We start from the raw sequence: 13,372 nt of genomic DNA, 5'->3' as shown, positions 1-13,372 counted from the left end.
TGGGGAAACCCCGTCTCTACTAAAAATACAAAACTTAGCTGGGTATAGTGGTAGATGCCTGTAGTCCCAACTCCTCGGGAGGCTGAGGCAGGAGAATCATTTGAACCCGGGAGACGGAGGTTGCAGTGAGCCGAGATTGCGCCACTGCCCTCCAGCCTGGACAACAAGAGCAAAACTCTTTCTCAGAAAAAAAAAAAAAAAGCATAAAGAACTTCTAACTTCTGTCACTCAACCTTGTTCCCAACCTAAGCCAGAGCCTGTCTCTTCCCAGGTTCAAGTCCAGCTGCCTCTCTTTGGCTGCTTCGTGAACCCCACTTGCTCTTATTGGCATTAATGGGGTCGCAGGCCCATCCTGGGGCAGGCCTGAGTCAATGCCAGAGTGGAGTTAGCTTCACCCAAAGTACTTGGGCTGAGAGGGAAACAGGTGCCATGAAGGGAAAGTGGGTGTGTCACCGGAATAGAAGGTACCGGGAAGATAAAGTGGGTGTGTCACCGGAGTAGAAGGCAAGAACTTCTTCACAAATTGCCTTCTCTTTCCAATTAGAAAAGGCGGTGGAAGTTTATCAAATGTCTCAATGGCTCATCTTGTGATGCTTGTATTATTTTTCTCCTTTGAACTACTGAGTCCTCTGGGATGGATTTTGAATAAATTCATTTATGGTGTACATTTATCTTTATGGGATCTATTTTCTAATGTTTTATTTAGCATTTGTATCAATATTTATTTATTTATTTATTTGAGACAGGGTCTTGCTCTGTCACCCAGGCTGGAGTGCAGTGGCATGATCTTGGCTCACTGCAACCTCCGCCTCCTGGGTTCCAGCGATTCTCTTGTCTCGGCCTCCTGAGTAGCTGGGATTACAGGCGCATGCCACCATGCCTGCTAATTTTTGTATTTTTAGTAGAGATGGGGTTTCGCCCTGTTGCCCAGGATGGTCACGAACTCCTGACTTCAAATGATCCTCCCGCCTTGGCCTCCCAAAGTGCTGGGATTACAGCCACGAGCCATCATGCTCAGCCCTTTGCCCGCTTTTTAATGGGGTTGTTTTTTTCTTGTAAATTTATTTAAGTTCCTTATAGATGCTGGATAAAGAAAATATGGTACATTTACACCATGGAATACTATGCAGCCATACAAAGGAACAAGATCATGTCCTTTGCAGGGACATGGATGGAGCTGGAGGCCATTATCCTTAGCAAACTAACACAGAAACAGAAAACCAAATACTGCATGTTCTCACTCATAAGTGGGAGCTAAATGATGAGAACACATAGACACATGGCAGGGGGGTGGGGGCGGGGACAGCAAACACTGGGCCTGTGGGAGGGTGAGGGGTGAGAGGAGGGAGAGGACCAGGAAGAGTAGCTAATGGATGCTGGGCTTAATACCTAGGTGATGGGATGCTCTGTGCAGCAAACTGCCATGGCACACATTTACCTATGTAACAAACCTGCACGTCCTGCACATGTACCCCTGAACTTAAAGTAAAAGCTGGAAATTCAAAACAAAAAGTTGGCAGAATTGCCATGAAACCATCTGAATGTGGTTTTTGTGGGGGAATCGTTCATTGACAACTTTTTCCATTTTTACCAAAATTACTAAGTAACCCTTTCCATCTTTTCTGTGGTCAATTTTAGTAAGACATACTTTCCTAGAAGACCATTAACTAGCACAGGTTGCCTAAATATTGTCTTGTAATTATTTCCCTTACTTGATCCTAATTTTATTATTTGTGTTCCCGACCCCTGCCTTCTAAAAAAATGATAAAACGAGTTTGTGATCTTTCTACTTTGTTTTTCAAAAAGAACTAAATCGTGATTTTTTTTTTTTTTTTTTTTTTGAGATGGAGTTTCACTCTTGTTGTCCAGGCTGGAGTGCAGTGGCGCAATCTCGGCTGGCTGCAACCTCTGTCTCCCGGGTTCAAATGATTCTCCTGCCTCAGCCTCCTGAGGAGCTGGGACTACAGGCATCCACCACCACACCCAGCTAAGTTTTGTATTTTTAGTAGCCCATGCGTTTGGATAGGATGACTCAATACGCTCAGTACTGTAAGGGCGTCCTTTTCCCTGAGATCAGTCTATAAATCCAATGCAATCAAATATAAGCTTTCATTTTTCTCTTTTAGAACTTGAAAAAATTATTTTCTGAATTCAAATGTAAGAATTAACACATGAGAGGTTGGGCGTGGTGGCTCACGCCTGTAATCCCAGCACTTTGGGAGGCCAAGGTGGGTGGATCAGCTGAGGTCAGGAGTTCAAGACCAGCCTGACCAACATTGTGAAACCTCGTCTCTACTAAAATACAAAAATTAGCCAGGTGTGATGGCAGGCACCTGTAATCCCAGCTACCTGGGAGGCTGAGTCAGGAGAATCACTTGAACCCAGGAGGCAGAGGTTGCAGCGAGCCGAGATTGTGCCATTGCACTCCAGCCTGGACAACAAAAGCGAAACTCCATCTCAAAAAAAAAAAAAAAAATTAACACATGAGAATAACCAGGGAATTTATGGAAATGAGGAGAAACAAGGGACGCATGGTCTGCAGGGGACCGACAGTGATTCACTAATGGAAGACATCCTTTGGTCTCACTGCCCAGCTACTACTGGCTCTTACCTTCCATTCCGGTGACACACCCACTTTCCTTGCGTGGGACCCCATTTTCCCTCTTAGCCCAAGTACTTTGGGTGAAGCTGACTCCACCCTGGCATTGACTCAGGCCTGCCCCAGGATGTGCCTGTGATCCCATTAATGCCCATAAGAGCCAACAGGGCTCGTGCAGCAGCCAGAGAGAGGCAGCTGGACTTGAACCTTCAAAGAGACGGGCTCTGGCGTAGTTTGGGAGCAAAGTCAAGTGACGGAAAAAGAAAGGATCCTGGTGACTTTCAGCACTCCCGGTCTTTTCATTTATTTGAGTCAATACATTGCCCTGTGCGTAAACCAGTTTAAGATGGATTTTCCAGCACTGGCAACAGAAAGGCTTCCTAACCGACACATAAAGCTACAGTGATTAAAACAGTATGGTACTGGTACAGCAGTAGACAAATTCATAGGTAGACTCATGGAACAAAAAATAATTCAGAAATGGAGCCACCAATATGTGGATATTCATTGAATAATAAGAGTGGCATTTTAAATTGATTGGGGAAAAATAAATTGTTGAAGAAATGGTGTTGAAACAGCTGGCTAACCACTTGGAAAATAAAGCCTGGCTTTCAACCTCTCTTCTGATACCAGAATAACTCTATAGAGATCAAATATTCGATCTTAAAAAGAAACTATAAAACATAGAAGAAAATGAATATTTTTATAATATTGGGGTGATGAAGGCCTTTCCAAGCAAAAAAGAACAAAACTGACAAATTTAACTATGTAATAAATACAGAATTTAAAGTTGGCAAGAAAAACCACTTAAAAATCAAAAGGTAACCATAAACTGGAAAAAAATTATATATGTGTATGTGTATATATAAATATATATGTATATATATGAGCTCTGATAAATCAACAAGAAAAAAGAGCCAGGCGCGGTGGCTCACGTCAGTAATCCCAGCACTTTGGGAGGCCGAGGCAGGCGGATCACGAGGTCAAGAGATCCAGACCATCCTGGCCAACATAGTGAAACCCCGTCTCTACTGAAAATACAAAAATTAGCTGAGCGTGGTGGCAGGTGCCTGTATTCCCAGCTACTCAGGAGGCTGAGGCAGGAGAATCGCTTGAACTCGGCAGGTGGAGGTTGTAGTGAGCCGAGATCACGCCACTGCACTCCAGCCTGATGAAAGAGTAAGACTCCGTCTCAAAAAAAAAAAAAAAAAAAAGAAAAGAAAAGAAAAAAGAATAACTGAAAAGAAACATGGGGAAAAATATGAATGCAAATATCCAATGGAAAAAAAAGAAGTTCAAATGAAGTTAACAAGAGTTTTCAACTACCAGATTAGCAAAGATACAATTTTATGTGAAACTAAAACTCAAAAACACTGCTGGTGGGAATGTAAATCGGTATAACTATTTAGTAGACATCTGATGATATGGATTACAATTTAACATATGCATACTTTTTGACTCAATGGTTTCTAGGCCTTATCCAAAAGAAATACTTTCACAGGTTTGCAAACATATATGCACAAGATTCTCATTGTAGCATTGCCTTCATTAGCAAAAAAGCAGAGAAAACAAGATACAACTCTCAGTCTATGGGATCTGGGGGGTCAAAAAAAAAAAAAAAAAAAGACAAGTCAAGTGTGCATCATTAAGGGAGTGGCTACGTCCACCAGACAGTGAGTAAAAGTTCTTATCAAGGACACGAATGGCCCGTATTTTGCCAAAACCACCAGCTGGTTTTCTATCCTTATCTTACTCACAGTGGCAGCAGCCAAGTCACATATTTGACCACTTCTTCATCCTGGAAACCTTCCTCCTGGGGCTTGGGGGAACACTGCAGGTTCTGGTGCAATCTCTTCGTTTGCTCTTCCTCCCTCCAGACCCAGGTCTCTGTCCTGACCTTTTTTTTTTTTTTTTGAGACAGAGTTTCACTCTTATCGCCCAGGCTGGAGTGCAGAGGCACGATCTTGGCTCACTGCAACCTCTGCCTCCCAGGTTCAAGTAGCTGGGATTACAGGTGCCCGCCACCATGCCCGACTAATTTTTGTATTTTTAGTAGAACCAGGGTTTCGCCATGTTGGTTAGGCTGGTCTTGAACTCCTGACCTCAGGTGATCCACCCACCTCTGCCTCTCAAAGTGCTGGGATTACAGGCATGAGCCACTGTATCCAGCCTGTCCTAGACTTTCTCCTCTTCTCTGCCTGGTGATGTCATCCAGTCCATGGTTTTAAAATTTCATTCATATGCTGCTCTCTCAAATCTGTATATCCTGGAGCTGCAGGTATGCATGTTCCACTGTCTCCTTGATTTCTCTACTCAGAAATCTCACAGGCATCTCAAACTGAATATGGCTAAAAGAGAAGTATTGATTTCCCAACCTTATGTTTCCAAATCAGTAGACAGTGTCATTGGCTTCCCAGTCCCTGGGGCCTAGAGCCCAGATGTCATTCTTGTTTCTCTCTTCCCCCAACATCTTACAACAATTAGTCAGTGAGACACTGGGCAGATGCTACTAGTTGTATACCTATTATCCCTTCTATCATTTTTTCTTTTAAAAACTCCAGTATTGTTTGGGGTGAGCAATGTACCCAGATAAAGACATTCGTTTTTCCCAATCTCTCTTACAGCTAGATCTTGGCCAGTGAAATGTAAGTGGAAATTACCAAGGCTTCCAGGAAGTCATTTTAGCAGCTTTTTAACAGTGCCTAAAAAACGTGATGCTGGAGGTGAGCAGCCACTTTGTGACCATGAGGCAACAGACATGAAGTAGTTTATGTTTAAATCTTTCAACTATCTGGTATTCACTTATATATACATATATGTGTGTGTGTGTGTATATATATATGTGTGTGTATATATATACACACACACACATACATAGTGGGGTGCCATTTTTAAGCCACAACTTAAAGTTTACTTGATCAGTTATTATTTGTCCAGGAGACCAATATTAGCTGTCTTGACATTACTGCATTCCAGGTCTAGCTTCTGGCTCCTTCTAATTTTTTTTTTTTTTGACAGAGTCTCGTTCTGTTGCCTAGGCTGGAGTGCAGCGGGGTGATCTCGGCTCACTGCAATCTCTGCCTCCCTGGTTCAAGCATTTCTCCTGCCTCAGCCTCCTAAGAAGCTGGGATTACAGGTATATGCCACCATACCCAGCTAATTTGTTTTGTATTTTTAGTAGAACGGGGTTTCGTCGTGTTGGCCAGTCTGGTCTCTGCCGGCCTTGACCTACCAAAGTGCCAGGAAAATTAGCAGCAAACAGATTTATAGATGACCCCAAAGCTCAGCAAGCTGTGGGATCCTCTCCTGTTGCCGTAACCTGCCTGAATTGTTGGTCTGGCAAAGAATGATTTTTTTTTTTTTTTTTTTTTTTGAGATGGAGTCTCGTTCTGTTGCCCAGGCTGGAGTACAGTGGTGCCATCTTGGATCTCGGCTCGCTGCAACTTCCACCTCCTGGGTTCAAGTGATTCTCGTGCCTCATCCTCTCAAGTAGCTGGGACTATAGGCGTGCACCATCATGCCCAGATAATTTTTGTATTTTAGCAGAGATGGGGTTTCACCATGTTGGCCAGGCTGATCTTGAACTCCTGATCTCTCAGGTGATCTGCCCGCCTTGGCCTCCCAAAGTGTTGGGATAACAGGCGTGAGCCACCACACCTGGCCAAGAATGACTTTTAAAAGAAAAAAAAAGAAAATTCATAATTCTTTTTTTTTTTTTGAGATGGAGTCCTGCTGTGTCGCTCAGGCTGGAGTGCAGTGGCACAATCTAGGCTCACTGCAACCTCCGCCTCCCAGGTTCAAGCCATTCTTGTGTCCCAGGTTCAAGCCATTCTTGTGTCCCAGCCTCCCGAGTAGCTGGGATTACAGGCGTCTGTCACCACACCTGGCTAATTTTTGTATTTTTCGTAGAGACAGGGTTTCATCATGTTGGCCAGGCTGGTCTGGAACTCCTGACCTCAGGTGATCCACCCGCCTCAGCCTCCCAAAGTGCTGGGATTACAGGCATGAGCCACAGTGCCTGGCTGAAAATTCATAATTCTAAGAGTTGCCCCAACCCTCTAACAGTTGATACCACTTCTGATCCCCACGCTAGAAAACTGGGGACCAATAACAGATGCATGCAGGAGAAGCCTCAACTGCAGCTGGCCAGGAAGCACAGACATACACATAGCCAGGCCGGGGCATCTGCCTTCTGGAATATCACTGCAAATGGGGCCTGCTTGTAAAGACACTTTTCCCTTTGAGCATTAGCACTGCGGAGAGGGGAGTCTCAGTCAATCCATTACAAGAGAACCAAAGAAGAACCCTTTCAAATAGGCATTTTATTGTTTTTTTTTTTCTTCCCTGAGACAGAGTCTCGCTCTGTTGCCCAGGCTGGAGTGCAATGGTGTGATCTTGACTCACTGTAACCTCCGCCTCCCGGGTTCAAGCAATTCTCTCACCTCAGCCTCCAGAGTAACTGGGATTACAGGCGCCCCCCATCATGCCTGGCTGATTTTTGTATTTTTAGTAGAGACAGGGTTTCACCATTTTGGCCAGGCTGGTCTTGAACTCCTGACCTCAAGTGATCCGCCTGCCTTGGCTTCCCAAAGTGCTGGGATTGCAGGCGTGAGTCACTGCACCTGGCCGCATTTTATTGACTTTTAACGCATGCTGGTCACTGCCTTTTGTTTTTTTCTGTATTCCCACTGTTATTTCCTCTCTTTACACTACCTTTTATCTCCAAAGGTACAGTTTTTCTAAATGGACTAAATAAATAAGTCTGTGAAAAGCCAAATCCATAGCAGAATATGGGGGACTTGGCAGGATGGTGGGGGTGGAAAATGTACTTGCCAGGGCATCGATAAAGTAATCTCTCTTTTGAGGTGTGCTTTTGAATTTGGGAAAGTCTGGATTTGTCAGGCAGGAGAAATAACATTCAGAGGCCCCAGCGCTCTGCAGGAGCAGGCACAAGTCTCAACAGGACAGCCTAGAAGGTGTGAGTGATATGCCGAGAGGCTGCAGGGAGAGCCCAGGGTTATACATCACGCTCCATTACTGAGGCTTGCCGGGTGCTTAAACCACCTGGCTAATTCTCAGCAACCTCCCTCCCTTGAACTAGGGCTCTGGCTTCCCTTTGACTGCAAACTTTTCCAGAAGGGGCTCTCCAGGCATAAGATAAGCCAGTGTAAATTAAAACCCCAGACAACATTGGTGTGACTTCTTCAATAGATGTTAGCACCCTTGTGTTTAAGACACAAAGAATTCCCTAGTCTGTAGCAAGCGTTTAAAACTTTAAAAGACACAAAGAAAGTAACCCTGTTTACTGCCAGCTAAATGGCATGCAGGCATGGTGATCTCCCAAAGACTACAGAGTTAGAGAAGGGGACGTCCCATGAAACAACAGAATCGCATCCTCTCTAAGGTTGGCCCTGGTAACAGTAGCCCCTGGCCCAGGCTTCCTCCTCTGCAAAGGAGGGATTGGCTGGAGCTGAAGGCCCTGGTAACGCTCAACATTCTATGGCTCCAAACACTTTCTCTTTCATCTTCTGGTGGCAAGAAAGAAGCAAGGGCTGGCCGGGTGGTGGCTCATGCCTGTAATCCTGGCACTTTGGGAGGCCGAGGCAGGCAGATCACGAGGTCAGGAGTTTGAGACCAGCCTGACCAACATGGTAAAACCCCGTCTCTACTAAAAATACAAAAATTAGCCAGGCGTGGTGTTGTGTGCCTGTAATACCAGCTACTCAGGAGGCTGAGGCTGGAGAATCGCTTGAACCCCAGAGGTGGAAGTTACAGTGAGCCGAGATTACACCACTGCACTCCAGCCTGGGTGACAGATCGAGACTCCGTCTCAAAAAAAAAAAAGAAGCAAGGGCTGCATGTGAAAGCAGCAGCGTCCTCGAGGCCCTTTCTGACACCCTACGACTCTCCCCTTGGGTGGGAGATTGTCAAGCACAGAACCACTGGGTCCAGGCAGATAGAGGCACAGGCTGATCTTTGGAATAACCATATCTGCCTCTGTGGCTGGGCCTTCCTGTGTCCCCAAATCACCAGGTCTGGACAGAAATCTCAGGTATCTCTCCTCATTGTTTTATTCACATATAACCTTCATCTTTGGACACTTTGAAGGGGAGCTCCCCTAAGCCAACCACTCCCCCCACTGGCAATACTCAGCCTCCTGTGGGGCCACACAACCACGCCCAAGTGCCACGGATGGGTGGGTGTGTGCTGGCTTCATGGGTGTGGGAGGGGGTGGGAGGTTAGATGGTAGGCAGACGGTGCACAGTGTGTGGACATTGGTTGGAATGGTGGGTGGGTGGGTGGATGGGTAGGTGTCAGGTGGATTGTGGGGGTGGTAGTGAATGGCAGTGGGGGGGGATGAGTAACTACAAGAAAGAAGCCAGGAGCTGTAAAAACCCATTTTCACAACAGCTTAAGGGAGAAATGACCACCATTGACAATGATTCCAACCCATGCCCTGGTTAAAGTACAATTTGAGAGCCAAACGTTGCTCATTGGTTTAATATTTTCCAGCTTGCGAGTTTGCTCTTCACAGAATGTGGATCTTCAGACAAGTTTGATCAGTTCCCAGCTGTCATCTGTACAGCCACACGACAGTGCCTTTCTTACCATTATGAGTAACTCATCCCTTCAACAGCTATTGATTTGTCATCTAACTTTGTCAGGCACTGGGCAACATGCTGGTTCCATTCCGTTTCAAATAAAAAATAAATAGTCTAGAGTAAGCAGACAAAAAGCAGGTAAGCAATGAACTGATCATCCTAAACTGTGATCCATGCTATGAAAAAAAATAGGCAAGGAGTAGTGAGAGGGTGACAGAGTAGGACTCCCCTAGACAGGCATGTTGGCAGAGGCATCCTGAGAAGGAGACGCTGGAGGTGAAACCCGCAGGCCAGGAAAGAGCCAGAAGGGAGAAAAGCAAGAGAACAGCCATCCAGGCTCCAGGGCAGCCTGTGCAAAGCCCCACACGGGCAAGAGCTGATACGCTCAAGGACAGACTAGGGCCAGTGTGGCTGAGAGCAATGGCCAGGCTGACCTCCCCTCCTGGTGTACTTAAGACAGTCCCAGTGGATGTCTGTTGTCCTCGTGTATCTTTCAAAAATATCCCCATGTGCACACTATATTTCATGGTCTCCCTTGATCATGAGAGGGGAATAGTAAGAAGTGAAGTGGGTGGGGAGCGGGGGAGCCACCATGACGACTGTGTCAGGAATTCAGGTTTATTCTAAGCCCACTGAGAAGCAATGGGATGGGGCTGCTGTAACGTTCCTAATGAACCGGCTACACTGAATGAAAGCGGTGGGGAAGCCCAAGGCCAGGGCTTTCCATCCACTCACACATCCAAACAGAGTGACTGAGCAAACCAGACAGGGCGCTGTGCACTGGGGACTTAAATACAAATAAGAGGAAGAGGGGCCAGGTGTGGTGGCTCACACCTGTAGTCCCAGCACTTTGGGAGGCTGAGGCAGGCGGATCATGAGGTCAGGAGATCGAGACCATCCTGGCTAACACAGTGAACCCCCGTCTCTACTAAAAATACAAAAAATTAGCTGGGCGTGGTGGCGGGTGCCTGTAGTCCCAGCTATTCAGGAGGCTGGGGCAGGAGAGTCACTTGAACCTGGGAGGTGGAGGTTGCATCGAGCCGAGATCACACCACTGCACTCCAGCCTGGGCGACTGAGCGAGACTATCACAAAAAAATAAAAAAAAAATAAGAAATAAGAGAAGACGTACAGATGGCCAGTGAAGATGCTCAGCACTGCACTCACTAGGGAAATGCAAGTCAAGACACAGTGAGATCCCACCCCATGCTTACTAGGACAGCGATTTTTAAAATTTTTTTTAAGGAAGGCTGGGCATGGTAGCTTACGTCTGTAATCCCAGCACTTTGGGAGGCTGACGCGAGTGGATCACTTGAGGTCAAGAGTTCAACATCAGCCGGGCCAACATGGCAAAACCCCAATTCTACTAAATAGACAAAAATCAGCCGGGCGTGGTGGCAGGCGCCTGTAATCCCAGCTACTTGGGAGGGTGAGGCAGGAGAATCACTTGAACCTGGGAGGCAGAGGATGCAGTGAGCCAAGATCGCACCACTGCACTCCAGCCTGGGCGACAGAGCAAGATGCCGACTCAAAATATAAATAAATAAATAAATGGAAAATAGCAGGTTTTGACGGGGATGTGGAGAAATTGGTGGCCTCTTACATTGTTGGTGGGAATGAAAGTGGTGCAGCTGTGGAGGGAAGTGATTTGGCAGTTCCTCAAAATCCTAAACAGAATTGGTTTCTTAGGACTGCCGTAACAAAGCACCACAAACTTAGTGGCTTAGACAAAGAAACATGCTGTCTCCCAGTTCTGCAGGTGGGAAGTCCAAAATCAAGGTCTTGGCAGGCACAATGGATCATGCCTGTAATCCCACCACTTTGGGAGGCCAAGGCAGGCAGATCACTTGAGGTCAGGAGTTGGAGACCAGCCTGGCCAACATGGTGAAACCCTGTCTCTACTAAAAATACAAAAAACTACCCAGGTGTGGTGGCAGGTGCCTGTAATCCCAGCTACTCAGAAGGCTGAGGCAGGAGAATTGCTTGAACCTGGAGGGTGGAGGTTGCAGTGAGATGAGATCACACCATTGCACTCCAGCATGGGCAACAGAGCCAGACTCCGTCTTGAGAAACAAAACAAAACAAAACCGATATCAAGGTCTTGGCTGAGTTGGCTCCTTCCACAAGGGAAGGATCTGTTCCAGGCTCTCCCAGCTTTTGGCGTACCTGGCTTGTTGGTGCCACCTTCTCCCTGGGTGTCCACAACATCCTCCCTCCATACATGTCTACGTGTGTCCACATCTCCCTGTTTTAGAAGGACACAAGTCATACTGCTTTAGGGTGTGACATTTTAAGTTGATTACATCTGTAAAGACCCTCCTTATTTCCAAATAACATTACATGCTGAGGTACTGGTGGTTAGGACTTCAAGTATCTTTTTGGGAGTACATAATTCAACCCTTTACAGCATTTGATCCAGCAACACAGTGAAACCCCATCTCTACAAAAAATACAAAAATTAGCCAGGTGTAGTGGCACATGCCTGTAGTCCCAGCTATTTGTGGGGCTGAGGTGGGAGGATTGCTTGAGCCCGGGCTGTCGAGGCTGCAGCGAGCCGAGATGGTACCACTGCACTGGAGCCTGGGCGAAAGAGTGAGACTATGTCTCAAAGAAAAAAAAAAAAAAGTACTCGCCCAGAGAAACCGACTCCCCCGCCGCAGGCTTGTGTTACACTGTGGGCATCTCAACCCAGGCTCCATTTCCCATTCTCTCATTTAGCACAGTATAAAAACCCTACGTTACCTTGGAAAATGAAACTCCAGCTGCACAATTCCCTGCCTCTGAGCAGGGAAGCCTGAGGGCCAGTCTGAAGGCGGAGGCGAAAGCTTCTGAGCCTGTGACTCAGGAGTGCCCAGACGTGGTTTCTGGTCCCACCCAGCTGAGCTCCGTTAGTCACCCCGCAGGGTCACGAGCTTCACGCAGCCTCTAGGCGGCCAGATTGTGTTTCTTCCACCTGCTTTATCAGCCAGGAAACAGGAGCCCCTGACTAATCTGAAGCCCTGGCCTCAGAAGAAAACAACGCTAATGACTCAGAGGCCAGAGCTGAGACCAGACAGACCCGGTGTAGCCACTCGGGCCAGGCTGCTCTGCGAAGCTGCTGTTTCCTCTGCTGCCGAAGCGGTTTCTTCCACCCAGGGCGGTGCGGTGGTTTGGCGACTTAGAGGTTTGGAGGTCCCTTCTTCCTAAGAGTTAACTGTCCTGAAAAAGCCCAAAACAAGAGCGGCATGATCTTAAATCCTGGGGAGAGGACACAGGCTGCCTGGAGGGGCCGAGGGCACACCTAGAGCTGGGGTTTTGTTCTCACTCTGTTGCCCAGGCTGCAGCACAGTGGTGCGATCTCGGCTCACTGCAGCCTCAACCTCGCTGGGCTCAGATGATCCTCCCACCTTAGCCTCCTGAGAAGCTGGGACTACAGGCACGTGCCACCACATCTGGCTAATTTTTTGTAATTTGTAGAGACAGGGTTTCACCATGTTGTCCAGGCTGGTCTTGAACTCCTGGGCTCAAGCAGTCTGCCTGCCCTGGCCCCCCAAAGTGCTGGGATTACAGGCGTGCGCCACCGCGCCTGACCAAAGAGCTGGGTTTTGATTCCACATGTGGAGGAGGTGCCTGCCTAGGGCTGACTGGGAAAAGTGTCTAGGGCTGAGCTCACAAAGTGATGAGCTCCCCGTTGCCAGAGGGCTTCAAGCTGAGGCTGAGTGAGACGAAGCACGATGGAGTGAACGGTATCCCTGTGTTGGAAGGAGGGTGGGTTATGTGAAAAGTGTCCCTTGTGGAAAAGAGGAAAATAGCCCAGCCCTGGGCTCCACTTCCTTGAAAGCGAATTTGGTGTCTGCTCCTTGGACAGATCAACACAAGCACCTACCCTTCCCAGGCCGCCGTCCCTTCTTCACCCAGAAGGGGAGTTCAGGGAAACTGGGCAGACATGGGCAATCCCACTGGGTTGGCTGCTTCTGGCTGTAAAATTCAAATCTCTAAGGCCTCTCCAATAACACAGTCCTAAAATTTCACATCATCAGCAAAGTCATGACTGCCATCTTGAGCTCCAAAACACCCCTCAAATGCGCCTATCCCTCCACCCTGCAAGCCAGCATCTGGCCCAGGTCCGTCCCCGCTGTCTGGACTATTGCAGTCACTGCCTGGCTAGGATTCTGTCCACAGTTCATTGCCCA

The 13,372-nt window shown here is 47.3% G+C and overlaps 1 long non-coding RNA gene across 6 annotated transcripts in view, besides 2 other annotated features; it reads right to left on the bottom strand.

The window, feature by feature from the left end:
* Positions 1–12,030, bottom strand: part of CLDN14-AS1 (CLDN14 antisense RNA 1) — a 68,202-nt gene extending 56,172 nt beyond the window's left edge. For 5 of the 6 annotated variants that reach the window (NR_183529.1, NR_183530.1, NR_183531.1 and 2 more), the window contains exon 1: positions 11,943–12,030. This is a non-coding gene — a long non-coding RNA (CLDN14 antisense RNA 1). Of the gene's footprint in view, positions 1–8,647; positions 11,446–11,942 lie in introns of those variants that run through there. The other variant, NR_183534.1, reaches the window with a different exon arrangement.
* Positions 11,316–12,191: an enhancer, noted in NCBI's record as "H3K27ac-H3K4me1 hESC enhancer chr21:37802462-37803337 (GRCh37/hg19 assembly coordinates)". NCBI's record gives its function as "activates a minimal SCP1, AML or CMV promoter by ChIP-STARR-seq in primed H9 embryonic stem cells {active_cell/tissue: H9 hESC(primed)}" and the evidence as "EXISTENCE:reporter gene assay evidence [ECO:0000049][PMID:30033119]".
* Positions 11,970–12,029: an enhancer, noted in NCBI's record as "active region_18433". NCBI's record gives its function as "activates an Ori minimal core promoter by ATAC-STARR-seq in GM12878 lymphoblastoid cells {active_cell/tissue: GM12878}" and the evidence as "EXISTENCE:reporter gene assay evidence [ECO:0000049][PMID:35858748]".

The sequence above is a fragment of the Homo sapiens genome, chromosome 21 (assembly GCF_000001405.40).
Source record: "Homo sapiens chromosome 21, GRCh38.p14 Primary Assembly".
Classification (NCBI taxonomy): Eukaryota; Metazoa; Chordata; class Mammalia; order Primates; family Hominidae; genus Homo; species Homo sapiens.
This window is presented reverse-complemented; position numbering and strand designations above follow the sequence as displayed.